Source organism: Homo sapiens, chromosome 3 (assembly GCF_000001405.40).
Source record: "Homo sapiens chromosome 3, GRCh38.p14 Primary Assembly".
NCBI classification, from domain to species: domain Eukaryota; kingdom Metazoa; phylum Chordata; class Mammalia; order Primates; family Hominidae; genus Homo; species Homo sapiens.
In genome coordinates, this window is record NC_000003.12 from 156,103,391 (window position 1) to 156,131,264 (window position 27,874).

General features: G+C 40.4%; 1 protein-coding gene and 1 pseudogene across 4 annotated transcripts in view; one reads left to right on the forward strand and one right to left on the reverse strand.

Annotated features, from left to right (window-relative positions):
• MRE11P1 (MRE11 homolog, double strand break repair nuclease pseudogene 1) lies at positions 7,850-11,055 on the reverse strand (annotated as a pseudogene).
• Positions 14,821-27,874, forward strand: part of KCNAB1 (potassium voltage-gated channel subfamily A regulatory beta subunit 1) — a 420,928-nt gene continuing 407,874 nt past the window's right edge. For 2 of the 4 annotated variants that reach the window (NM_172160.3, XM_017007174.3), the window contains exon 1: positions 17,188-17,496. In NM_172160.3, the coding sequence (NP_751892.1) occupies positions 17,222-17,496 (275 nt within the window). In that variant the 5' untranslated portion in view covers positions 17,188-17,221. Of the gene's footprint in view, positions 14,950-17,157; positions 17,497-27,874 lie in introns of those variants that run through there. The other 2 variants (XM_017007171.3, NM_001308217.1) reach the window with 2 other exon arrangements.

A 27,874-nucleotide genomic window follows, 5' to 3' on the forward strand; every position in this document is an offset into this window, starting at 1 on the left:
AACAAATGTGGGAGGGCATTGAAGCAGAGAGACCAAGGCATGCATTCCACCTTAGCCATTAAATTGTCCCTGGCAAGTTATTAAAAATCTGTGATCCTCGCCATCCCCATCTGGAAAATGGCAGTAGTAAGCCCAACTTTGCAGGGTGGTTTGGAGAATGAGGGGACATTTGTAAAGCTCACAATGTGGCACATGGTGATTGCTCAATACATTTAGATAAATATTAGGTCCCTTCCCCAGCCTCCTCCAGTGCTTTATAGTTGAGTGCCCATGGGCAAGTCTCTGAGACTTACTGGTCTCAGTTTACCCATCTGTAAAATTAAGGGGCTTAGCCAGCTCTTCACACACTGTAATTTGTATCAGGCCTGAAAAGTCTCTGAGTCTCTGATTCTTTATGTTGTCGTCATTCAATGACGCTGAATTGAATTAGCTCCAGGTGAAAGGTGGAATGACCACAGGTATCTGGGTGGCGTGGGCAGAGTGACTTTTGACTGGGCCTGAGGAACTTTCAAGTTAGAGGGACTCAGGGTAGGTAACATCCTGAGTCCTTCTGGCCAGGAGAACAGCCCAGGGAGATTCAGCCCAAGCCCTACATGGAGTTCCGAATAACCAACCAGTTCCAGGACCAAGCTAGGCACTGGTGACAGATCCAGACTATTGTATTACTCAGCTTCCTTTTGGTGAGAAGCAGCAGAAACCCTACAAAAACCAGTTGGAACCCTGTAAAAATCAGCATAAAAGGGACTTTATTGTCTCATTAATCTTGGCAATCAAAGGGCTAGATCCATACACTACTGGATTGAGGACCTCAAATGATGTTGTCAGGGCATTTTATCTCTACATCTTTTTGTTCTTCTTGTCTGTCTTTTTGAATGTTGGTCTTATATTTTTCCTCCTGTTTCTGATAGATTTTCTCCGCCTGAGAGCCAAGCTGGATCTTGGCAGACCTAGGCTTGCAGACTTTGGCTTACAGTGCCATAGGGATACAATACAGTGCAATACAGTAGAATACAATACAATACGATAAGACACAATACAACAGGAATAGAGGTCTTCTCTCTCCCCTTGTCCACATGTCAGTCCTGTGGAAGGGCTCTGATTGGATTTTGTTAGCTATGTGCTCATTCCTTGCATGAGCATATGGTAGCATGTAAATGGCATGCTACAGTGCTCAAAATCCAATGCTCCAGTGTGACCGGGAGCCAGGTGGGCATTGTGATTTATAGTCTGATGATATTTGATGATATCTTGGTGAAGCTGCCATTCACCAACACAAAAAGATGTGCCAGACAAAAACCAACACGACCTGAAGAGATGCTCATGACAGGAGGAGGCTCAGCAATAGAAATAAATCCCTGTTTTGGCCCAGTTTCCTGTCCACTCAGAGACGCTGTGACTCTCCAGAGACCGCTGAGAAGCACAGCAGTGTACCCCCGGGTCTCACTTCCAGGAATTTGACTTTTTTTTCTATTAGTAGCTTCCTCTTTTCAATATCTTATTCACAAACATTACATGTCATTGTCCATCACTGATGTTTATCCAGTGTCAAATTCCTCACCTCCACTGTGCTTTCATTTCTCCTGCCTGCAAAACTCCAAGTCAGCCAAACCGTCCCATTTCTCCAGGCTTACAATTGGACTTCTGGGCACTCCAGGAGGTAGTCACAGGTCTGCACTGGCAAGTGCCACTATAAATTCATGGCCTCCAACTTCAGGCAGGCTCCATTCCCAGGCAGCTCTTTCATCCACTGTGGAGACAGTGGCCATTTTAGAACATCCTCCACTTGCTGATTATTCTGTTTCTCCTGCAGATCCATTCTCTACCTATGTCTTTTCTGTGCCCTGATTGTCCAACCTCTACAGACTATCATCTGGCTCCCTTGGCCTCTGGCTTCCTGTTGGGCTTGGCCAAGGGAAGCACCAGCAGAAGAATGAGAGGGCAAGAGGAGAGGAAAGTTGAGCTGCTTATGTTCTGGCTTCCTCCCTGCCTCACCTCCTGTTTGCCAAGAATAAAACATGTTCTATCAAGCTCTGAATGGGTAGCATATCTGTTTAAAAGATCATATCAGCCGAGCGCAGTGGCTCACGCCTGTAATCCCAGCACTTTGGGAGGCCGAGGCAGGCGGATCATGAGGTCAGGAGATCGAGACCATCCTGGCTAACACGGTGAAACCCCGTCTCTACTAAAAATACAAAAAATTAGCTGGGCGTGGTGGTGGGCACCTGTAGTCCCAGCTACTTGGGAGGCTGAGGCGGGAGAATGGCGTGAATCTGGAAGGTGGAGCTTGCAGTGAGTTGAGATCACCCCACTGCACTCCAGCCTGGGGGACAAAGCGAGACTCCGTCTCAAAAAAACAAAAAAAACTTGAAAAGTTATATTTCAGGAAGAAAATGAATTAAGAAACTGATTAGTTTGTCAAACATTGTTAATGCCAACATTCCACAGTTACTTTTTAGTTATAACTCACAAAAGAAATCAATGGGAAAATTTAAATATGGTACGTCAGCACTTAATAGAGTATGCTGTGGTCAGAATGGCATCAAGACAAAGGAAGGCATGTTCCATGTACCATTGAGGCAGGAAGCAGTGTCTTAAGAAGCTCAAGGCTAGAAGCAGGTCTTAGGGTTTGAGACAAGGAGAATTCACATATAGTCTTATTCTATTAATAGAAGAGTCTGTGCTGCATTATGGGGAAATTACTTGCCCTGGTTTGAGTTTTATTTCCATCCCTACTCCCACTCTCCCTTCCCCCAACCCACCTGGGACGATCTGTACTAATCCTGCTAACCACTATTTGTCTGGAGGAAATTTTATATAGAAAACATATGCATTTGACAAAATCAGGCACGTTTAGGGTGGTATGGCCGTAGACAAAGACATATGTATTCTTTAACAGGCATGCAGCTCAAGTTTGAAGAGTTCCTATTTTTCAAGTAATGAAAATTGTGGAATAATAGTGAAAGAGCATGGATTTTGGAATCACTCAGGGATAGATGCACTTAGAAAAGTTACTAAAACTCTGTAGGTCTCAGTTTCTTCTGTACCACTCAAAAATTATGGCTTCTTCACCCTGTTCAGCCACTCCATACACACAATACCCCAATATGTGCAAACTAAAGCCTCAAACTTCGATGTGCATACGAATCAACTGAGACACCTTATTAAAATGCAGATCCTGAATCAGTAGGTCTGGGGTGATTCTGTGTTTTGTTTTTTTTGTTTTTTGTTTTTGGTGGAGTCTCACTCTGTTACCCAGGCTGGAGTGCAGTGGCACGATCTTGGCTCCTGGCAACCTCCACCTTCCAGGTTCAAGTGATTCTCCTGCCTCAGCTTCCCAAAGAGCTGGGATTACAGGCATGCACCACCATGCCTGCTGATTTTTGTATTTTTAGTAGAGACAGGGTTTCACCATGTTGTCCGGGCTGGTCTTGCACTCCTGACCTCAAGCAATCCGACCGCCTCGGCCTTCCAAAATGCTGGGATTACAGGTGTGAGCCACCACTCCCGGCCAATTCTGCATTTCTAATAAGCTCCCAGGTGCTGCCCAGGCAGCTGGTTCTTGGAGCACACTTTTGAGAAGCAAAAACTCCTTGTATGGATAATCTGAGTGTGAAAAGAAAATGAGCCAGTGTTTTTTTTATAGCAACTGAAAGTTCCACAATGTGCCCTAGCCTTTTCCAGGACTTGTTACAGGAATGGTGGAAGTGCTGTGAGCAGCTCTGAGGAGTCTGCAGCCCCGCAGATGCTTGGGTCCCTCTGGTTGCTTTATTCTTAGTGTGGTCAGGTCTGCTGCCCCTACTGGCCCTGTCTCATGCCTTCTCCTAATTTATGTTGTAACTAATCACAGCACCTTAGCCCTCTTATTGTGCCTTAAATAGTTATAGGGGAACCTCTATGCTTCCAGTCTCCTTACCGTTAACCAGCCTGTGCAAAGTGTATCCTAAATCAGGCCACTGACATTTTGGAATAAAGAGTTCCCTGGTGATATGGCCTAAACTTCACAGGTACTGGGTCATCACTGTACAAATCAGCTTTTAGAAGCTGGAAAAAAAATTGGGTCAAATGCTTCAATGTGCATTACATTTAAATAAAACGTGTGGATGCTTTGACACATTTTAAAAACACTCTAGGTGTTAAAATGGAAATAATATAACAATGAATGACAAGATGTTTCATTTATCGCTTACTATGACTAGATGCTTTATATTCAATATCTGTAATCCTCACAGAAACATTGAATCTGTACTTTTGTGCCAGTGGGGACACAGGAATGCGGAAAGGATCAATTACTTGCCTGGTTTACACAGCTCATATGCAGCATAGCCTGGGTCCACCCGCCTCTGTCTGATGCCTGTTAAACACCTTCTGCCTCTCCAGATTAACAGTTCTCTCAGGCACCCTTTTCATTAGACAACCGCTTCCCTGAACGCATGCATTGTTTTAGTTTTGCTGTTTACTTTCTCATTCCCAATATTTGTGGTTTTTATTAATAAGGTTCCCCTTAAGGCAATGTGATCATCATGTTGGAAAATATTAGTGGGAGGTTTCTTTGAAATATTTAGTCAAGTTTAAACCCTACACAAAATGATATTCTTCTATGTCAGGAATGGGTGACAAATGAAGTAATTTCTTTTTTCTACCAGGTAGCAAGGCAGTATCAGTGTATAAACGGTGGGAATAATGCATCCAAAATGTGGGTCGTTATTTGTTTTTTCACTGTAGGGCTGAAGAAATATTTAAGTTTGTACTGAGTCACACATAGCCTCAGTGTGTTATTTTTATTGGGAGTGATTGAATTTTTGAGACTGAATTTATTTGAGTGATTGAATTATGAATGATTGATCAGTCCCTAGGATTGAAACTAAGGCAACATTACATAAACAAGAAATGGACCAAAGTAATCACAGCATCAAAACTCTGACAAGGGAGAAACGGATTTAGATATTGGACCCCCATAATAGTTTTTGTGAATTAGAAATGCCCTTTGAGTCTATTAATAAAGAGCATTTCAAGTTTTGAAAAAAGAACTTTGAGAACATTATAGCAATAAAGGGCACTAGTTGGGCCAGGCTTACTGATAGTCTGACATCCCAAATGTTTCCTGTAAGATCACAAAATGTCATCGATTCTGGTTGCCTGATCATTATCACAACTTGTCTACCTTTAAAAACAAGAAAATAATTTCTTCCCATTTTACACACTCTCTACTTTTCCTTTTTGGGATCATGCTCAGTTCTTTTTCTCTTCCAAAGGAGAGGAGGTGGTGAAGAAGCAGATGATTTCTATAAGAGGCTGCTAAAGGCTCACAGAGAATATTATTTTTTTCTTGATGTTTCTTTAAAGCAGTGATAGCAAGGACAGCATAGCCTTTAGCACATATTTTGCTGATGGCTTCAGTGTGTTTTCTTTATTTGCCAAACACTTAAATATTTTTAGAGAGAGTTGCTCCATGCTTTATAAATAGCGATGTTCTAAAACTTACCAAGATGAACTGTGTTTTCTTTCAATGATGATGTTCTAAAAGAAATGTGTGGCATATTTATGCAGCAAAAATGCTGTAAAAATACAAAGCAACTCCTTACACAGCGATAGGTTTGTAAAAGGCGATAAAGATGACCAACAGTAATTCATGTTTAGCAAATTAACAGGAAAGAAGAAATCTTTTTTTCTTTGCCTGCACCAGACGGGTAAGGAAAAAATCCAAGGCATTAGCGGAGCAAATAGCCAGTGTGCTATCTACCAATACCATTAAGTGAGAGTGAAAGGAATTGATCTCTCGAAACATAGTTAATGCACAGAGTTCTTTCATGGCTGGAAGGATTCCATACTCTTCGTGTGGGAAAATACCCTTCTCTATGCTTTTGGGTGGTGGTCCTTGAGTCAGCAGCTGGGGGACCTGGAAGGAATATATGGACAGTGAAACACAGCATCAGGGTTTGAGTCCCTGAAAGCTGCTTAAAGTAGAGCAAGTCATACAACCTATTTGGGCTTCCATTTCCTCATCTAAAAATGGAGAACGAAATGAGAATACATGTAAAAATGGTTCAGATCCCAAACTAGATGGGTATTAGTTATTGTGATCATTATTGCTGTTATTCTGACTGTATGTAGCAGCCCTGGTTTGAACTTCTTTGTGCTGAGATTTGGAGGTCTGTATCCTCATGCTCCTCCCGCTAGGCTCTGCCCATTATGGTCTATATCTACAACCTGCTTGTCTGAAGATGTGTGTGTTTTACTTACTTGGGAATAGTCTGATGTTCTACTAAGTTCAGAGGATGCAGGGGACATTGGAAACAAATGTGGATCATCTTAGAACGAAAATTGAAATAATTTTACATTTTACACATCATAGTGGCCAGGAATACAAAAACATCACTCATTCCTCAGTGTCTAGCTCATGAAACCTTAATTCGCATTGATTACAGAATAAAAATTCTGGCAATTCAAGATAAACAGTCACCTTTGAAGGTAAACTCAGTCAGTTTTGGATTCTCTCCTCACCTCCCTTCTCCATAGGGGTGATCTGTGATCTAAGCCGGGGCAGAGCACCTGGTCTGTGTGCCATCCTCAGTCCTCAGGGGCCCACATGACAGGGCTGCTAATCCATGCCCCCGGGATGAAACTTTCTCCCCTCACATCTGTGGGCCTCCAGGGCCCCATTTGTGCACTTCGTATCCCCTTGATCTCGACCCCAGCTTTCGCAGCTGCTGGCTTCCTCAGGCATTCCTGCATGACTTTTGATGGCAGGGACCGCTGCTAGAGAAACGTTTGGATGCTGTCCCACATCATGCTGGGGGGATGCGTAGGATGATTATACCTCCTGGTTTGCAGAAGACTTTGCCAGTTTTTGCCTGTTGTCTCTATGTGACTATTAATAGCCCTCTTCCTGCTCAAAAGTGTCCCAGTTTCGCAGTACATTCTACAATTGCTCAGGGTACAAGACTCAGGGAGGCTGCCCTCAGGCCTACATTGCCATAATCTTCCACTTCCCTTTCACGTAGATGCTTCCTTGGACACAGGGTAGGTCAGGCCCAGTGGCAACTCAAACCTTATCCAGTCCACTCTGATCCTTTCATCCTGCCTCAAGTTTCTTTTTTGCCTAAGGGAAAGGAGAGAAGGAAAGTAATACTTACATAATCAAATATTATTCTCCACTCCATGCCTTTACGCTCTAAGCTTTCTCCTTACTATTTTTTTTGTGGTTATTCTACTGTTTTAATAGAAACATATCTGTTCAAACTATAAGTTACTTCTAATCATTCAGTCTTTCAGGGAGCATTAGAAAAAAACATACATAGTAACGAACACTGAGTTCAGGCCCAGGTTCACATAGTTTGTTTTACTTTCAGGAAATCCAGAACCTCTAGGAAATTATTATATTATGAAGAAGTTAAATTTTATAAGCTCTTTCCCTCAACTTTGGCTAAATGCAACCATTTATATAGCTACATTTAGAAAACTAAATGCAGAAAACTAAATGATCATGAAGCAGAAATGTAAAATGGTAGATTTATTTTAATCTTTACTCAAGAATGATGTTTAGGGGTGGGGTGGCTCACGCCTGTAATCCCAGCACTTTGGGAGGCCAAGGCAGGTGGATCACCTGAGGTCAAGAGTTCGAGACCAACCTGGCCAACATGGTGAAACCCCGTCGTCTCTAATAAAAATACAAAAAATTAGCTGGGCATGGTGGAGCACATGCCTGCAATCCCAGCTACTTGGGAGGCTGAGGCAGGAGAATTGCTTGAACCTGGGAGGCGGAGGTTGCACTGAGCCACGATGGCGCCATTGCACTCCAGCCTGGGCAACAAGAGCAAAACTCTGTCTCAAAACAAAACAAAACAAAAAGAATAATTATATTTAAACAAAGCTCTTAAAATAACAACGTGGTTAAAAAACAAGATGAATCAGTGCTGAGAAGTTTCTTACTTACGGAGTCATTCTCAGGAAGCAATACTTAAAATCTTAAACTGTAAACTTTTAGCTTGCAACGTTTTGATTTTTCCTGTATTTTGCAAATTTCTCAGTGCCACTAAATATATTATCTACTATTTCTTCTTAAAGAACTAATGTTCATAAAAAGGATCATCATCGTCATCCTCATCTGATTCAAAATCAACCCCTTTCAATACTTGGCTCTGGGACATGTTTTTGCTGGATGATGTGCTGGACCACTTTTGATGTGTCTGTGAAGTGGTAGGAAAAATGTCTTCTTCCATATCTGATTCATCTACCTCAATCACCTCTGAATAATTTTTAGTGACATTTTGGGAAGGCTGCTGTCTTGTAGATTTAAAGGCTTCTGTAATAGACATATTTCTAGATGCTGGCACCATGGTCTTTGAGTTCCTGCTATGAGTAGAAGTCTCCAGACCAGGGCCTGCTCTTCCTCTTTGAGACCCTCCTCTGATGCTGAATTCTGTCCTCTTCCTCCTCTTCCACCTCTTCCTCAGCCTCTTTGTTGGTTGCTGCTGAGATGTTAACATCAGAGTCATTAGCCATCTGTTCTGCTAAATCTATACTCATAAGGTCATCAGCACTAAAGGCAGAAGCAGGTTCCTCTGATTGAGATCTGAGACCTCTGGCCCTGTTAATAGCCTCATGGACGTCATCATCTTCACTAGTATTTTTTTGTCTGTTTTCTCTGAATCGACATACTTCCTCATTGATTTTATCTTCTAGGGCATCAATATGACGTTCTTAAAGAAAATGCTGTGTTTTTTTTTTTTGTTTTTTTGTTTTTTTTTGTGTTTTTTTGAGACAGAGTCTCTCTCTGTCACCCAGGCTGGAGTGCAGTGGTGCGATCTCGGCTCACTGCAAGCTCCGCCTCTCAGGTTCACGCCATTCTCCTGCCTCAGCCTCCCGTGTAGCTGGAAGTACAGGCGCCTGCCACCATGTCCAGCTAATTTTTTTTCTATTTTTTAGTAGAGATGGCGTTTCACTGTGTTAGCCAGGATGGTCTCGATCTCCTGACCTTGTGATCCACCCGCCTCGGCCTCCCAAAGTGCTGGGATTAGAGATGTGAGCCTCCGCGCCCAGACGAAATTGCTGTGTTTTTTACAACTGGCATTTCATTAATTCCTCAATGGCATCTTTCTCCTCCTTGTCCACAAATTCTTGTACTGCTTCACCCATCCCTCTTTCTGTTAGCAGTGAGAGTGGCACATTCTTCTCTTCAGTTTGAAAATACTGTTTTACAAGATCTTCTACCCTTAAAGTTGTTCCTTCTGAAGAAGGTTTTGCGGTAAGTTTCCCAAAGTTGATCTCTTCCCCTGTTTTTTCCTTTTGTTCTCTATGCCTGAAAAAATGGATAATGTCTTTTGGATTAGCTACCCGATGTACAAATTTCTGGCTAAAGCGAAGAACGTTGAAAGGTTCAAAACCTCCACTATAGTCCACTCGCAGTGGTATAAGAGACTTCTCTGGCTGGCAAGAATTACCTAGATGTTCCCATTTAGCATTTTCAAGCATTTCTTCAATCTTCGCCAAACAGAAGCTTTGTATGGCTTGGTTTACTTTAGGATTATCTGGGTTAAAAAATGGATGATTAGCCAGAACAACATCCTCTATGAAAAACTACCGCACTGTGTGAAGAGGAATTTTCTGCATATTCATTTTTCTTCCTTTAATACACAGGAAACCAACATGTTTCTTTACAGCTTCTCCTGGGGAAAGAGAAGTAACCACTGAGCTTCCAGGTTGTGAGGTATAAAATAGTTGTTGTTCATTTTTGTTTTTTGTTTTTTTTAGATGGAGTTTCACTCCTGTTGTCCAGGCTATAGCACAATGGTGCGATCTTGGCTCACTGCAACCTTCACCTCCCAGGTTCAAGTGATTCTCCTGCTTCAGCCTCCCACGTAGCTGGGATTACAGGCATGTGGCACCATGCCCAGCTAATTTTGTATTTTTAGTAGAGACGGGGTTTTACCATGTTGGTCAGGCTGGTCTCGAACTCCTGACCTCATGTGATCCACCCACCTTGGCCTCACAAAGTTCTGGGACTACAGGCATGAGCCATTGCGCCTGACCTGTTGTTCATTTTTGGTTGGAGCTATTTTACACTCATGTGCATGGCCCCAGATAACAAGATCAATGAAGTCATCCAAAAATTGTTCTGGACTGAAGTTAGTACTTAGCCATGTTTACTTCTGTAATCACAAATAATCACAAATAAGTTAAACCAAGAGTTCTCATCTTCTTTTGATCTCAACATTGTTATTTCTTATTGACAAACATTCGAGAGAGCCTTTCATCTGGAATGGATCCTAAATCATAGAGTGCAATGTTTGTGCTTCCTTTTTGAAGCAAAACCAGACTAATGTCTATCTTCTCCACGGACATTGAAAGTCCAAAGTGATTTACAAATCCAACACAACTTAAAATGTCCAGGGCACAGCGTGCATCTGCCCCCATGGGGTCGTCATGATTACCATGAATACTAAACACTGGAATTGAAATGTTGAGATTGCCATCTTGATAGTTCACCCATGGAAACTTACTAAAACCAAAGTTGACTGATTGATCACTGAGAATTTCAAACTGGACAGGCCTATCACCCATACAACATTTTCTTAATAACTTGAGGCAGGTATGTAATGTTTTCCTTGAGGGCTTTTTTCATGAAAAAGATCACCACCTAACAAAATAAAATCCACTTCATTTTCCTGGGCAAGTTTTAAAATTTCATCAAGCGTTACACATGTATCATTTCCTCTGACTACATCTTTCTCCATAAATCCAAGATCAATATCTGTTGCAACTAAGATTTTAAACAAGTTTTAATCATCAAGTGCTTCTGCAGGACTCATTTTTATGGTCAGTCAAGCTCCTCTGGGACCAAGTTCTTCTCCAAGAACCCCTGGGTCCTGTACTCAAATGTCAGAAAATTCACTCGATTCCAAATTCTAGAAATTCCCACTCCTGGCCTCTTCAAAGCCCCACCCATCAGGACCCAAGGCTGTCTTCTTTCCAGGAAGAAAGGGTGGGATCTGTGAGAAGAAAACAGCATGGTCGGAACTTGCCTCTGAGAACCCGCAGGGCCATAAACCTGAATTCTCTCCTTACTATCTTAACAGAAGTTTCTAGAAATCAAAACAAAACCTTTCTATTTCAGGTTTCTGGTTCCACCACCGGCCTTTAAGATATCTTGTTGATGTTAAGGGGAGAAATCCAACATCATGTCGAATGTTGCTTCAGGATGCTGAAGGTGTGTGTGAGAGGTGGACTAAGGGCAAGTGAAAGGGGGCAAGGCATACATTAAAGGAAGCAAAATAATCCAAGACAGCAGTAGATGACTTGTTACCAAGCCGTGTGACTGAGGTGACCACATTAGTTCAGACAGTAAAGGGATGAGAATAGCAGTGAAGGAAATTCTTCCTCCATACTGTGGTGGCAGAGGAGGCCTTATGATAGCCTGGAATTTCAATGAGAAAACTGTAAATTGGGTAGGTAGAGTTTTTCATAGGGGGAAAGGAAAAGAAATATAAAAACAAGGAGGCATAAAACAATAGGTACTTTAAACGAACAGGAAACAAAGCAGAAGTAAACCAAAATAGTTGAAACTCATTCTTTGTGCAGAAAAACAGTTGGATATGGCCGGGCATGGTGGCTCATGCTTGTAATCACAGCACTTTGGTAGGCTGAGGCAGGCAGATCACCTAAGGTCAAGAGTTCGAGACCAGCCTGGACAATATGGTGAAACCTCGTCTCTACTAAAAATACAAAAATTAGCTGGGCGTGGTGGCATGCTTCTGTAATTCCAGCTACTCAGGAGAGTGAGGCAGGAGAATCGCTTGAACCCAGGAGGCGGAGGTTGCAGTGAGCCAAGAGCCGAGATTGTGCCACTGCACTCCAGCCTGGACAACACAGTGAGACCCTGAAATAAAAAAAGAAATAAAGAAAAGAAGGAAGGGAGGGAGGAAGGAAGGAAGGGAAAGGAAAGGAAGGAAGGAAGGAAACCAGTTAGATATAAAGTTGACAAAGTAGGTTGGAGGCCTTCAAAATCAGTTTGGTGGATTTCAATATTATTCTTGGGTACAAGGGAGCCACTGAAGGACTTTGAGCAAGGGAAAGAGACATATTTAGATTTAGATTTCCCTCACCCCATTTTTTAAAGGGAAATATATGTGTCAGGTAGGTAGATTGAATACGATTTTGGTATAATTAGAAACGGAAAGAACAGATAAGGATTTTAAAGTGAGCTTTTATAACTATGCTCAATGAGGTAAAGAAAAATATACTTGCAGTGAATGAAAGATAAGCAATCCCATCGGAATAATGGAAACTGTAGAAAATAACCAGATGACAATTCTAGAACTGATTAATATATTATCTGAAAAATTTTTAAAAGTCACTGAATACACTTACCAGAATGGAGATGACAGAGTGAGCTCGAAGACAGATCAGGTATTATCTAATCTGAAGAATAAAGAAACAAGAATGAAAAAGATGAACAGAACTCCAGGTACAGAGTTGAAAAAAGATATTTTTAGATAAAGAAGAATTTGTTGCTCTTAGATATGTAATGCTAAGGGAAGTTCTTCAGATTGTGGAAAATGATAATAGATGGAAACTTGTATCCTCAGGAAGAAATAAAGAGCGTGAAAACATGGTGAATCCGTGAACAAATACGAAATAACCCTTTGATTACTCCACACCTACCCAGAAAAATTCATCCTCCTGCATCTTCCCAGTCCTGGCAAGTGGCTCAGGCCACGATCCTTTGGGTCATTCTCAACTCCCCTTATTCTTTTGTATTACTTTTCTTGTACCAATCAACCAGGAAGTCCTATCCTTTCTACTTGCAAACTATATATACACATTGAACTCCAGTGTTCACCAACCTGTTCTAAGCCACTCTCATCTCCACCAAGATCATCGCAGTAGCCTTCAAATCACCCTCCTTCTTCCCTTGACTCCCAATGGCCTGGTCTCAGCGCCGTAGCCAGAATGATTCTTTGAATACGTAACTCTGATCATTTCACTCCTCTGTCATAGCCTTCTAAGAAGCTCTCCATCTCATAGCTGGGGGTGGATACATCATCATTTTTATATTTATATTTAAAAATGTATCATTAACCTAGTATTAGATCAGTAGGGTTACTATAGTTTACAATAATGTATTGTGTATTTCAAAATAGCTGGAAGAGAAGAATTTCAATGGTTCTAGCATAAAGGAAAGACAAATATTTAAGGTGATGGATGTCCCACGTACACTGATTTGATCTTTACAAATTAAATGAATGTATTAAATTATCACATGTACCCTGAATTGATGTACATCTATTATGCATCAATAAAATATACATATATCATTTTAAAATGACACATCACTGTGATTTTTATATATATTTGAGAAGACATTAAAAGAACTGAATGATTTTACTATAATAAGAAAGTTCCATTTTTATTATTTATGTAAACAAGATTCTCACAACATGTACCTTTAAAAATGAAAAAATAAAGGGAATAGAATTAATGCTTAATCCTACCTGTCTCAGTCTCCCAACAAATAACATACCTCCATGAACACATGACCTAATTCAGAAAATATATCGCAGCCCTATACAAGCCATTAAAAGACAGATTTCCAAAAAAATTTTATTTTTTATGTTAAGCAAAGTTTATCAAAATTTATAAAATCTGCATTTGATCAATTATGTCTGATTATAGTTGTCAAGATAACACGATCCCTAAGATATCTGATAACAATCTTATGGTCATAAAAAATAATTTAAATTTTTATTTATATTACTTTCATTGCATCAAAATTATTTGACAGGGTCATCTGTGAGACATTTTCAAGTATACAAATATTATATATTAAAATTCTGGGTGAGAAATTGACTGGAAAAAAATAGTTCAGGGAGAAAAAGGAAGAATGTTAAATTTCCAGCTGCTAAAGAAGAGCTTGTTCATGAATTTTTAAAATGGATAATGATAGATATCAAATAGCTATGGGATTTAAATTTCATTGGATACATTTAAGATAGTGATGTAACCACTTTATTTAAAAATACTAGTATGTACAATATGCTAGACATTGCATCCTTTGCAACTACAGTGGTGCATTCCTTAACAACAGGGTTACTTTCTGAGAAATGCCTCCTTAGGCAATTTCATACTTGTGGGAATATCATAGAATGCACTTACACAAACCTAGATGGTATAGCCTATTCCATACCTAGGCTATATGGTAGAGCTTATTGCTACTAAGCTACAAACCTTTATAGCATATTGCTGTACTAAATATTGTAGGCAATTATAACACAATGGTAAGTATTTGTGTATCTAAATACAGAAAAGGTAATGGTTGTACTACAACATTATGATAACTATGATGTCACTAGTTTATAAAAATTTTTCAGCACCATTATAATCTTATGGGACCACCATGATGTATGCAGTATGTCATCGACTGAAATGTCATTATGTGGCTCATGACTACTTAATTTATGATGAAAAATGTTGTTTGTATACCTAAAAGTGTTGAAGTTAATACTTAGCTTTCCAAATTTTTAAAAGGGAAGCAGAAGCAGAAAGTTTGCATTCTACTGATGCAATGGTTTCTAACCTGGAGAATAAATATTAATACTTATTGAATGTTAATAATGCTAGACATTGTTCTAAGTCTCACACATATATTGTTAAATGTTTATAATAAAGATAAAAGTAATGTTCTTATTACTATTGTGCACTATAAAAAATTCCAAAACTTAATGGTGGTAATAAAGCAAACATTATATTTAGCTCACAATTTTGTGGGTTAGGAATTTGGGAAGGGTATGAGTTGGTCATTGTAATTTGGGATGTCTTTTACAGTTGCAGTCAGATGTTGGCTGGGACCACAGTCATCTAAGGATACTGCTCAAGCTGGCTGTTGTCTGGAAACTCAGCTGGGGCTACTGATCAGAGCACCTGCATGTGGCTGTCCAGCAAGGCAATGTTAAGGTAATCAGGTTCCTTACAGAATGAACATCTCAAGAGTGGTGGGTGAAAGCTGCATGGTCTTTCTGACTTAACTGTGAATGTTACATAGCACCACTTCCACCACGTTTTACATTGAAGTAGTGTGAAGCTCATCCAGATTCAAGGGGCTGAGAAACAGGCCCCACCTCTCAATGACAGGAGTGTCAAAGAATTAGTTTTAAAACTGGCACAAGTAGATAATTATCTCTATTTTTATAGATGAAGAAAATAAAGCATATGGGAGTTAAGAAATTTGTCTAGGATCACAGCACTGGTACGTGATGGAGTTAGGATTTGAACCCAAGCAGTCTGACTCCAGAGCAGAGCTCTTAAACACAACAGCACTGCAAGCCAAGGACATTGGGAAGCCCTCTGTCTCTTTGGCTGAATGAGCATAGTGCCCTTTCCACAGTTCCATTGCAGAGCCCCCCATTGAAACATCTCCAAGAATATTAAACTGGGGTGATTATCTCCAGTCTACACTTCGGGGAGTCTAGTTGCTATGCATATAATGTTGCCAGAACTCCTCAATGACTCAAGGGATGGGAGCAAAGAGAGTAGTTGAAGAGGCTGTCGCCTGCTGGTGCTAAAAGTTCCTAAGACCCCACAGCATCAGATGGGACTGACCCTGCTAGTTGGTATCAGTTGCCTCCTTTGATACATGCTTCAGGCTGCACATTACTTGGTGGTTACAGTTCTAACCCTAGACTATCCTGGACAGTAATATCAAACAGGTTTCACCCAAATGTGCAAGAGCCCACATGGCTGTTAATTGGTTAATATTGATATTGGTTAATTAACAGCCATAGGGATCCTCAAAGACCTTTGGCAGGTCTTTGAGAGTGACAGTGGACTAAGGGCAAGTGAAAGGGGGCAAGGCGTACATTAAAGGAAGCAAGATAATCCAAGACAGCAGTAGATGACTTGTTACCAAGCCATGTGACCGAGGTGACCACATTAGTTCAGATAGTAAAGGGATGAGAATAGCAGTGAAGGAAATTCTTCCTCCATACCGTGGTGGCAGAGGAGGCCTTATGACAGCCTATTGACAGACTTTCCAAAAGAGCTAACTGCACTTTCCTATCTCTTTAAGAAGGCATGCTTCTTTCCTCCTTCCTCTCCTGCTCTTCTCAGGGACTCTAAGGACTTGCTATAACTCTACAATTTTTAACTTACGGTTTTGTCATGGAAAGAAAAATACATGCACCTTCCCAAGTTCTTTACATGCAGCAGGCACTGAGATAGTTGATCCAGAAGAGACTTAAGTTGATTGAGGGGGAGGGTGCCTGGTGCTTAACGGGTCACTAAACAACTCTGTGATAGACCCCTAGGTGGACACTGACATCATTATCTCCTAAACTAAAACAGAGTGAGATCCATGGGTGTGTGTGGGTCAACCCCATGCATCTTAACCATAGGGCCATCAGCTTGGCTTTCTTTGTTTCTCCCAAACTAGTTTTCATGTACACTGGGCACACACATACACATCCATGCACATACAGGCTCCCACCATTCCCTCCCACTCTTCTGTTTTTTCACACCAGTTTTGGCCTTCACCTTCCCAATTATCAGATGATTCTCATGGCTTCTATTTGTCAGAAGTGCTGGGAGGGGCAGTTACTGAATCGGTTATGAGGGATTACCATTCTCACATTAGGAATGAAAGAGTGCCTGACATACGTTATGTGGTTCACTGACATTCAAAGAAATATAAAATAAATTTAAAATGTTCAGGTTTGCACAAGAGAAATAATCTTTCCCTTGCATTGATACTGTTGAACTTATTTGAGGAAATTCACATTAAAACTTTTAAAACTCCAAAGGGACTCTAATCAGGAATGGCTAATGAGCCTCCAGAAATCTTTTATAACTCTAACATGATTATCGAATGTAATTTACCAAACCTATATGACCAAAAGTTCAGAGTTGTCACTATTAAATAAAGCAAAAGTCCTAACTTTGCGGAAGAAACAGCCACTGCCAAACTTCAGTATTACAAAGTTGTTGGGAGTTGTTTTTAAAATTTCCGTGTTCGAAGATACCACAGGTATTGGCCAGCTTACCTCTTCACTAGGAAAGGTTAGAGATACATTTTCATCCCAAGCCACAGACTGGGCTCAATTACAGCTTTGTGGCAGGATAAGGTTAAGAGAGGTGGAGTGGGCAGGGACGAGGGAGGGAGGCAGAAGCAGAAAAATCAATTCAGATTACTTTGATGACAGTGACTTCCAGTCTTCTCTGAAAGATCTCCACGATGCTGGCAGCCCGGACAGGGGCAGCGGGGAGTCAGATCTCAGAGGAGAACACCAAGTTAAGGAGACAGTCTGGGTTTTCTGTAGCAGGGAAAGACAAATCTCCCAAGAAAGCCTCAGAAAACGCTAAAGACAGCAGCCTTAGTCCCTCAGGGGAAAGCCAGCTCAGGGCGCGTCAACTGGCTCTGCTGCGCGAAGTGGAGATGAACTGGTACCTAAAGCTCTGCGACCTGTCCAGCGAGCACACCACCGTCTGCACCACAGGCATGCCGCACAGGTAAGCTGCCCCTGCTCTGCGCGGGCTTTGGGAGACGCCGTTCGAAGGTGCTCTGGAGAATGCTTTGATTTCTTTTCCTCTGCAGCTGGAAGTCTTAACGGCTCTAATTGCCTTAGAGATGATTGGCACTTCAGAATGTGTAACCACAAAGAGCAGGATCTTGGTGCAAATGGCAAATAATGTTCCCTGCATTGTTATTCAGAAAAGACCTCTTACAAGGAGGCAGTAGATGCTTAGGAGCTGACAGGACAAAAGAGCATTATGATTTTTCTTAAGTAAAAATCAGAGGAGTTAAGAGATGGTAGGAAAGTGCTCCCTTCCAAAATAACTACAAAAAAGAGTTTGCAATCTTTCAGCATTTCCTTTGCTCTGAGAACTTGGGGATGAGGGAAGAACATTTGTTTTGCCTGGTTGAAAAGTGGAGTTGAGTAGTGTGAACTTGTTGAATGAGGGGTCAGGCTGGCCATAGGGATGCAGAATGGGACATATTGACCACCAATATAGGGATCTGAGCCCCGTGTCTAAGACAGATAACATCAGGAGAAAAAGGTAACTTTTAAAAAAGAGATAAATGTAAGGCAAATCTCTATGGGTTTTCTTTCTGTTCTTTACTCAGCCTCAGCTTCAAATAAAGCAGAGGAAGGATAATTTCACAAATCCCAGTGTTCCAAGGCAAAACGTACTGAGTAAAAAGTGTCTGGAGTCCTGAAATTTAAGGATGCTTATTTTCTATAATTTGTGCAAAAAATCTCTTAGGAATTAAAGATAATTTTGGAAGAAAAAATACTGTGAAAATAATACCTAGAATAGCTATGTTATTAAATGGTAATAAAAATTCCTTTGAGATGAAAAATGGTTCCAATTACGTAGTCAAAGTATGGAAAACTCCTTTTGTAGAGACTGTATGGTAGCACTGAAATTCTGCAATGCAGCCTGTATCAAAGCATCCAGTGCACTCTGAGCTGCCTTTCTGTCTATATTTCTATTTCCAAAAGACACTACAGAAAAACTTATTTAGTAATTGAATTAACTTGTGCATATAGACTAAAAACTTGTACCGTACACTTTAAAACTCCTCAACTAACTTTCATTTTCTCTTTTTCAAGGCAGCAATAAATAGATATTTTAAAACCTAAACTATTATTCAAAAATCAACATTTAAAAATTAGCACAAAATAAAGCTTCTGGAAATGTTCTATGAAATACATTTGGTATTCATGGCCAGAGTGGTTTGTCTGAAGCTCTTGTATATGCTGTTGGGCCCACATTTGGGGTACATGGGAGGAAGACCAAAGGAAAAGTAGTCTCGTTTAAAGAAAGTTTGAATGAGCTTGTTAGTGTTACATATCTCATATTTCAAACTATTACATATCTCACATCTACAAATCTTAAAGCTATTATTAAAGATCCTCTAGGAAAAAGAGTTAAGTGGCAAAGGAAAGCATTGAAAATGGTTTTCTTCCGTAACATTTTCCTTGACTTGCGATATACCAGAAATTTCCTTTAAAGAGTCTAATACAAGACCACAGAATTCTTCATTATCTGACATTGGAACAACATTGAACAAGTCAGAGTGGCATATTAGTTAAGGTAACCAGGTTTAGCAAGAAACTTTTGGGGAAAAGCAAATATCTGCTCTTTTCTGCTTCACTTAAACAATAATATTTTGTTCTGTAATCAGAAAAGACTAGATTAGACATGATCCAGAATTAATGTCTCCTGTGATAATCTGTGGGGTAGTGTTATTAATCACTGATTGACAATAGCATGGTGTTTCCCTTGTTTAGTAAAAGGGTTGAAAAAGAGTGAAGATATGTCCACCTTACATGATCAAAAATTAAAAATTTCCCATCCTCCTTTATTATTGCAGCATGATTATTTCCAGGAAGAAACGAGTATGTGTAGTTGGAACTAACTCTATTTATAAATTAAATACATTTATTACAGAGTTCAATGTTTGCAATAGCTCAGGAAACTAAGGCAGTTTTTCTCATCGCCAGCAACTTTTTTACCTCTCAAATGTTGGAACTACATTCCTCTGTCGAGTCCTTGAGATTCCTGGACAGTGACAATGTCTGATGGTGCAATCTCTTCCAAATTTAATGTTAGCGATAGAATGTACGATCCCCCAAGTCACCCAAATTTTTCTTTCATTTGTAAATGTCAGCCGTTGAGAAGTCCCAGAAAATTTTCTTGGACTTCCAATTGTTCTTTCTTCCAATAACATGGCCCATGAGTGATATCTCCATTAGAAACTTGTATGTAGAAGATAAATATGATTAACTTATAAAATATTAACAAATTTATCCACCTGTGAAGCATTACTTACAAGACAGAATATGAAATGTATTGAAGAGTCCTTGAAGACATTACACATTTGCTATTGGAAATAATTCTGTGGGTCTTTGGTTAATGTTCATCAGTAAGGAATTGCTAGCGAACTCAAACTTGTTTCCTTTCTTGGAAGATGGAATTAAAATATTTTACATCAGGTTAATTCTAGTTCCTGAGGAATTTGAGGATTGCTTTATGTCCATATTCTATGGTAATTTATATTTGAAACAAAGGGTATTATTAAATGATTGGAAGAAAGCATTAGAGTTGGGGGAGATTCAGCAGTCCTGGTATATTTAAGAAGTAAAATTGCAGGCAGCAGGATAGGGAATGCACATTAGGTTTGTGGTAAGTAGTTCTGACTCCTGCTGTATTTACATATGACTATATAATGAAACAATCTAATATACTTTGCTTAATACAGATTTATTGTTCATCTAGAGTTGACTGATAACTCTGTGATACTGATTTTTTTAGAATGACAGCTCAGGGCCCTGCACCTTGAGGGAGGATGGGGCAGGGGCCAGAGTTCTGGAGTTGAAGGCAAAAGATTGGCTTTTCTTCTTACTGCCTGTAACTGTGGGCATGTTTTTTAAAAAAAGTATTGTTTTTGAATAAAATTTTTTTTCTGTTTACAAAAGTAACATCTGAACTTTGTAGAAAAGTTTGAAAACAGGAAAATATAAAGCAGAAAAGGCTACTGTTGTTAATATTTTGACATGCTTTCCCCAGCATTTTGAATTTGGGTCATGGGTAAAAGTCAGAATATGATCATATCATTCCTTTTTTCACTTAATATTACACCAATCTATTTTATTATCTTAAAAACTATTTAAAATTTTGTAAGGACTATATCTTATGACCATAATATTGCTTAGCCATTCTTCTTTTATATACTATTTATCATTATTAGATATAATATTACAATAAACATCTTTGTATCAGATTTTAAAAAACCATATTTCTGCTTATTTTCTTAGGATCTATTTCTTTTCTTTTTTTTTTTTTCTTTTTGAGATGGAGTCTCACTCTGTTGCCTAGGCTGGAGTGCAGTGGCGCAAACTCAGCTCACTGCAACCTCCGCCTCCTGGGTTCGAGCGATTCGCCTGCCTCAGACTCCCAAGTAGCTAGGATTACAGGTGGGTGCCATTACGCCCAGCTAATTTTTGTATTTTTAGTAGAGTTGGGGTTTCACCATGTTGGCCAGGCTGGTCTTGAACTCCTGACCTCAAGTGATCCGCCCGCCTTAGCCTCCCAAAGAGCTGGAATTACAGGTGTGAGCCACCGTGCCTGGCCGAGGCTCTATTTCTAGAAGTGCAATTAATGGATGAATGTATTATATATGTGTATATTTACACATATACACATATACAGAGATATGCAAATATATATTTATTTATTCTTAATGAATATTATCCAGTTGCTTTCTGGAAACATTTTTCTCATTATACCTTCTCACTGGCAATATTCAAGAATGCCTATCTTATTGCTTTCTCTGTACTACACAATGTTTATATGGAATCTTTAACATTGAGTTTTATAGTTCAACAAAATGTTGGGTTATTTAATGAACTTTTCCGGGTCTCAATTTCTTTGACTGCAAAAGGGTGCTAACACCATTATAAAGAATGGTCGTAGGCCGGGCATGGTGGCTCATGCCTGTAATACCAGCACTTTGGGAGGCCGAGGCAGGTAGATCACAAGGTCAGGAGTTCAAGACCAGCCTGGCCAACATGGTGAAACCTTGTCTCTACTAAAAATACAAAAATTAGCTGGGTGTGGTGGTGCATGCCTGAGGTCCTAGCTACTCAGGAGGCTGAGGCAGAAGAATTGCTTGAACCGAGGAGGCAGAGGTTGCAGTGAGCCGAGATTACTCCACTGCACTCCAGCCTGGGTGACAGAGCAACACTCCACTCAAAAAAAAAAAAGAACCATTGCAAAACTTAAATGAGATAATGTGCAGTGATTTGAAAGAGGAACGTGCTTTGTTTTCACACTCTGTAAAATAGGGCTTGAGATATAACCCATACTGTACACGGTGTATTTAAGGCCTATGAAGAAAATTAAGGATGGATGACTCCAAAAATCCCCAACAAAAGTATATACTTCACCTAGCATCAAGAGCTGAGCATCCCGCTGTGCTCAATTAATATTTTATAAGAGACCTTTGTGTGTCCTCACCAAAAGCTTTTTAAGGATTTATAGGATACCACCCTCCTGAGGAAAAGTGACTTGGAGATAGAATACAATGAGCTTTTACATACTATCAGTATTCACATTTCAAACGATAGTTGACTGAACCTATTAAATTGAAGTTACTAGGAACATTTAGTAGGGCAAACTGAGATGTGAGTGAAAATTTAGCTATAGCATTTTGATACTGATTTTGACCACCTTAATGAATGTTTCTTATTATCTAGGACAGTAGTTATACTGAGACTCGCTCCTAATATTTTCTCTCTCTGCTCTCAAAACTGCTTGACTTCCAAGAAAGTGTTTACTCACACTTGCTTCTAGAAGGCTGAATGTGGTTCTATGTGAGAAAAGGCAGTTAGTTTTCCAGGTGAGTTTGGTAGACTTGATTCCTGCCAACAGGCAGCAGGAGATCCAAGAGCTTAGAAGCCTTTGGTTGAGCTTATGAAAGCATCTTAATTGATGCAAGAAGTTTATGCAAGAAGATATTCTTGTTAAGAATCAAGCTGGAGGTCAGTGAGTAAACATTCAACAGCCATTGATTGAGATTCTTGTTTGTACAAGGCCCTGTGACACAAAGATGAAACTAGAAAAGATTCTAGTTGCTTGCAGCCTAGGAGTAATTGGGTATGGACTTGGAAGATGTGCAGGATTTGAGCAGGAGGAGATGGGGAGGGGAAGGCAATCCATGTGTAGGGAAGAGTGAGCAGAGGTGCAGATGAAAGGGGCAGGAAATGAAGATGGAGAGCTGCTTCTGTTCATGAGGCTACTAACAGCATCCTTCAAAGTTTCTTGCAGGCTGGATCTGGGAGTGTGGCCAGGAGAACAAGAGGAGAGGAGGCCATTTGACTACTTTGGAGACTGGGGAGTTGGGCAGAGAGCAGGCGTGGAGGAGAGGCAGTGTGTGCAGGCCACTCTCAAGAAGAGGCAGTGCAGAGGAGAGAGTATGATAGTTGAAGTCTGTAGTAGAGTCTGGGGGGAAATTTGTAGGAGAAAGCTGATCTGTGGATGTTTTTAGGCAAAGGGGAGGAGTCCAGGGGAGAGAGAATGTGTGTAATACAAATAATAGAGCAAAATCGTCCCCATATCCCCAAGGAGGGGGAGCCTCTTGGGTATCAAATGCAGGTATTAGCTTTGGCAAAGTGAAGTGTAGCTGGGCCTGGTGATGAAAAAGCTCTGGAGTCTGGTGGCCTGCAGGCTGCATCTCAGCAGTACCACTTACTAGCCTGGAGGCTCTGGGTAAGCCCCTTGCCTGCGAGAAGCAGTTGGTTTTGGTTGAGGCCACAGATCCTGGAGCTAGGCTGCTGGGTTCAAGCCCTGGCTCTACCAATTATCAGCTATGTGATTTAGTCTTCTCAGCTATAAAAAGTGGGTAATGATGGCAGTAATACCTTAGGGTTGTTACGGGAGCTCAAGTGACTTAAGTAAGTATAGCTCACAGAACAGCAGTGGGCACATATAGTAGTAAATATGATATTATACAAAGGTCTTAGCATCATTCCTGACGCATGATCTATGCCCTTGCTATTATCATGAGATTGTTATTGGAGATGCCAAAAGTAGGGATGCCTCTCTTTTCTGGAGTGTACTCACACTGATACTGTAAATGGGCATAAAAATATCTAGCTCATAAGACTGCTATAAGGATTCCATGAAATGATGTAAATCATCTGGTGTAGATTAGACACTCAATCAATTTTGGTGCTCACCTCTGCCACTTTCCTCTTTTTCCACATTCCTGGAACATAGTGGACAGCATCAGTAAGATGGTATCAGGGATGGAGTATGGAATGGTGGAAGTGAGCTACAATGGAATAACTCTAAATTATTCAACCAATATTTTTTTTCCTAGAAAAAGCTATTAATTCATTTTTTGTTGTTGAAGAGAAAGCTCTTCCTTTTCTAAAATATGATATCTATTTCTTAGAGCAGGCACATTCTCCCTAAGGCTGTAATTCTTGTCATGTTTGCATGAGCAGTCACATAGAAGTATTATTTTCAGAGATATTGGAATATGAGGACATTTTTATGTAGTTTACTGTGATTTTAGTTATATGCTAGAAAGATTGCCTCCTAGCTCATTGTTCTGTTGTTTTGCATATTAGAGAAAATGTTGGACCACTGAATGATTGGGCTAGGAGTGGGAGAGTGAACCTCAACAGGACAGGATTTAGGTAGCCAGAGAAAGTTACAGCATTCTAGTAGCAGCCTCTGGGGAGGGTTAGGGTTGCCATGGCCACTAAAGATGGTGATGATGTCCTTTGACTTGGCCATGAAGCTGCCATTGTCCTGTGTAGCTGCACCACTGGGGTGGTGAGTTGGAAGTAGACATCCCTGGACGGGCACATCCACTCCATGGGAGTAGCCAAATGCACAGGGACTTGGTTCAGTCTGCACCCCTGTGACTGCTTTTTTGGTTATCTTGACAAAACTGAGCCAGTTTCTCAGTTTTAGATTCCTCTTCATTTGGGGTGTGTGTGTGTGTGTGTGTGTGTGTGTGTGTGTGCACGTGCGTGCGCACCTGGTTTCTTCTGAATAACTGTGGACACCTGGAAGGCAGTGCCTCTATCTCAGTCTTCTGACTTGCCCAGAGGGTTCTTTCCTAACTGGACGTTGGTAAATTAGATAGAGCATCAGCTCTGGCTCCTCTTTCTGAGATCTCTCTGCCGCTACAGGGAATGGGCTCATGTAACAGTAGGAAAATTGGTTGAGGGGCCAGGAGACATGATTCAAATCCCATTTTGCAGTATGGTCATAAGTAAGGTTTTTAAAGTTCTCCAGAAATCAGTGCTCCTCTGTAAAATAATGAGACTAGACGAGATGATCCCTTGAGCTTTGTCCAGCTTTGAGCCTGTGGAGTATAATGACATAAACCTGACCAAAGGGGCACACTGTGTTGTTTATAGAGACAGTGCAACTGAAGTATCTCTGAAAGAAAAAGGGGATGAGGTGATACTTTGTTTTGAAGTTGTAGGAGAAGGAGAAAAATTCTCTTTGATTTTCAAAGTGTGTTATTTTAGTGATTGGTTGATTACTGACAGATATGTTTAATTTTTTAAAAAGTGTTCTTTAGTAGAAGGAGACAGAGTAACACAAATACCTACAATTTGTAGTATCCTTGTTTATAAAATGTCTTGTCGTGCATTATCTCATTTGCCTTCACATGACATAGAGCAGGTGTTCTCCTACTTTCCTGTGAGGGAACGTGCCTCATAAAGGCGATGTGCCTGATCATCTAGGCCCAGATCCCAGGTCTCCTGGTTCCTTGTCCAGGCTTCTTTACATGCTTTCAATGTTTCCCAAACTATGGCACTCTAATTGTGCCAAAGATAATTTTGGGGGGCATGTGGAAATTAAATCTTTCAATGGGTTGATAATTTATTTTCATGAATATTAGGAAGAAATATATAACATACACCTAAAATCTATAAATTCATGGCTATGAGAGCAGGGCGCAAGGGTAAGTTTTAAAATAAATGAGTCAATTGAGAGGAAAACATTCACTAACTGTAAGTAGTGGTGGAATTGAGATCTGACAAAAATCCTCAAGGTGATACACAAAGGACTATTTCTTTCATCTCCTTCATAATTATCAAGCATTTATAAAGCATCATGCCTTCTTCCCGGGGCTTTTATAGTCGTTCTGTTTAATTCATACAACAACCTCATAGTCTTGTTACAACCCATATCCTTCAGTGAAGGAGAGTGTGGTTCTGCCTATTCATTTTTTGTCAGTCGTTGATTTTTTTTTTCTTCTTTTCCCATTAAGGGGATGAAATATTCCCTGAGCTACCTCCCTGCTGAATATGCTTAAGTATGTTCCAGGTTATCTTTTTGAGCCTTCGTTATTCTACTCCATATCGAAGGTCAACCTTTCTAGTTCTGTCTCTATGTACCGAATACTCTGCTTCTCTGGGGTGTGGTGATATCATACCATGAGTTTAAAATTTAGCCTTAGCTATACAGCTTAGCTTATTAAAGTTTCACGTTTACTTTTCAGGTTGTTGTGCAGTTGTGGTATTAGCCAGTTAGAGATGTTGTGCCTCTTGCCTCCTCTATAAGTCACCACAGATATATAAACTGGGGACACATTAATATAAGCTCTGATATCAGGCTGACTTAGGTCTAAATTCAACCCCTTACAATCTGTGTGACCTGGAACCTCAGTCTTCTCACCAGTAAAATCAGAATAACAGGGTTACATATTCATAGAGTTGAGAAAATTAAATGAGATAATATCCATAAAAGTTTTAGCACAATGCTGAGTGCATAGGAAGGGGCCTTCAGCAAAAGCCATAATTACTATTCCCCTTTGAAGTGCCATCAGGCCATCTGTTATTTTGCCTCCCTGATCTTCCTTTAGCTAGGAGTCTCTCTATGAGCCCCTCAAGCTTGGGAAAATTCTCCAAGCCTTAGCAAATGGTCTTGACATGCTGCTTCCCTCCTCGTTTAACTTAGAAACTTGTTCTAAGATTTTCATTCATACCCTGATTTAAAATCTTTTCTGATTAACATGGACCAAACGCCTTGTCTGTCTCACACTTCCTCTCTCCATGCACAGTGGATCCATCTCTTGACTCTGGAATAAAAAGGCCTAGGTTTAAATCCTAGCTCTGTTTCTGGCTGGTTGTGTGGATTTTAGCAAAACACCTCTCCTCTCCAAGCCTTGATTTTGTCATCTATATGGTGGAAATAAAAACATCTGTGTTATCCATCTTCTAGGATTTTAAAGATTAGATCCAAAGTATATGTGAAAATGCTCTGTATGTTATAAACCACTATCTATGTGTTCGCTATTATTTTTATTACCTTCTGCACTGGACATGGGCTCTACGTCAGCTTAGAACATGGCTTAAGAGCATGGTTACCCCAATCTGTTTTTCTAGTAAAAATAGGTGTAGATGTAGCCTTCATTCCTTCATTCCTTGACCTTGAACAAGCCTTCCTGGGTGAGCTGACCAAAGTCTATGACATCTGCCTTCTTTTCCTAATATCAACAACTGTTTATTGAATATTTATTATATAGCTAGCACATTCCTTAGATATTCCATTGATTCCTTCCCAATGATCCATGTGCATGTGATGCCTATTTTTATGATCTTCACTTTGTGGAAGGAAATTGAGCCTTAAAAATGATCCTGCCCAATGTTAGCCAGTTAAGCATGTGATAAAGCCAGTACTTGAATCTGGAGACTCAGGCTGCAGACTGCAGATGCACATCTCAACTCAACAGAATGGCTCCCTGCCCTAGTTTGGGTTGATTATTGATCACTACAAAGATGTCATTTTAGTAATTTCACTTTTCACCTTCACTTTCCACCACACTATAAGGTTCTGTAACTCGGGATGTGGCAGTCATGTCTTCCCCTCCCATTTGAAGTCTTTGCTTCTTGTCCTGCACCTGTCTATCAAAAGGCTGGGAGGCTGGAATGTTGGGAAGTCACTTAGGTGGATAGCAAAGGGTTGTGTCATAGGATGAACTATGGATTTTTATGTTTCCTCAGGCTTTTCTCCCACAGAAACTGTTTCCATCGAAAGAGCTGTGTAAGTGCAGAGGCCTGAGGAGGCACCCAAGTGACATCCCTTATTAGATAAATTTAATTCAATTTCAGAATTTGAGTTTAAGTCAGGCTTTGGCCATCTCCTTCTCATCCTAGCTCTGAGAGCTAGACAGCAATAGCTGCCCAGGTCTTTCAAATTGTAGACTGTGGTTGTCACTGAATGGCATGTGCTAATGTCCTGCCAGGGATTTTTACCATTGTATTGTGTGTTTTTGCTGCATGGGAGGAGGAAACAACACGGTTTTGAGGAGCACTTACTCATATTTCTTTGGAGATGGCAGTTGAAACAA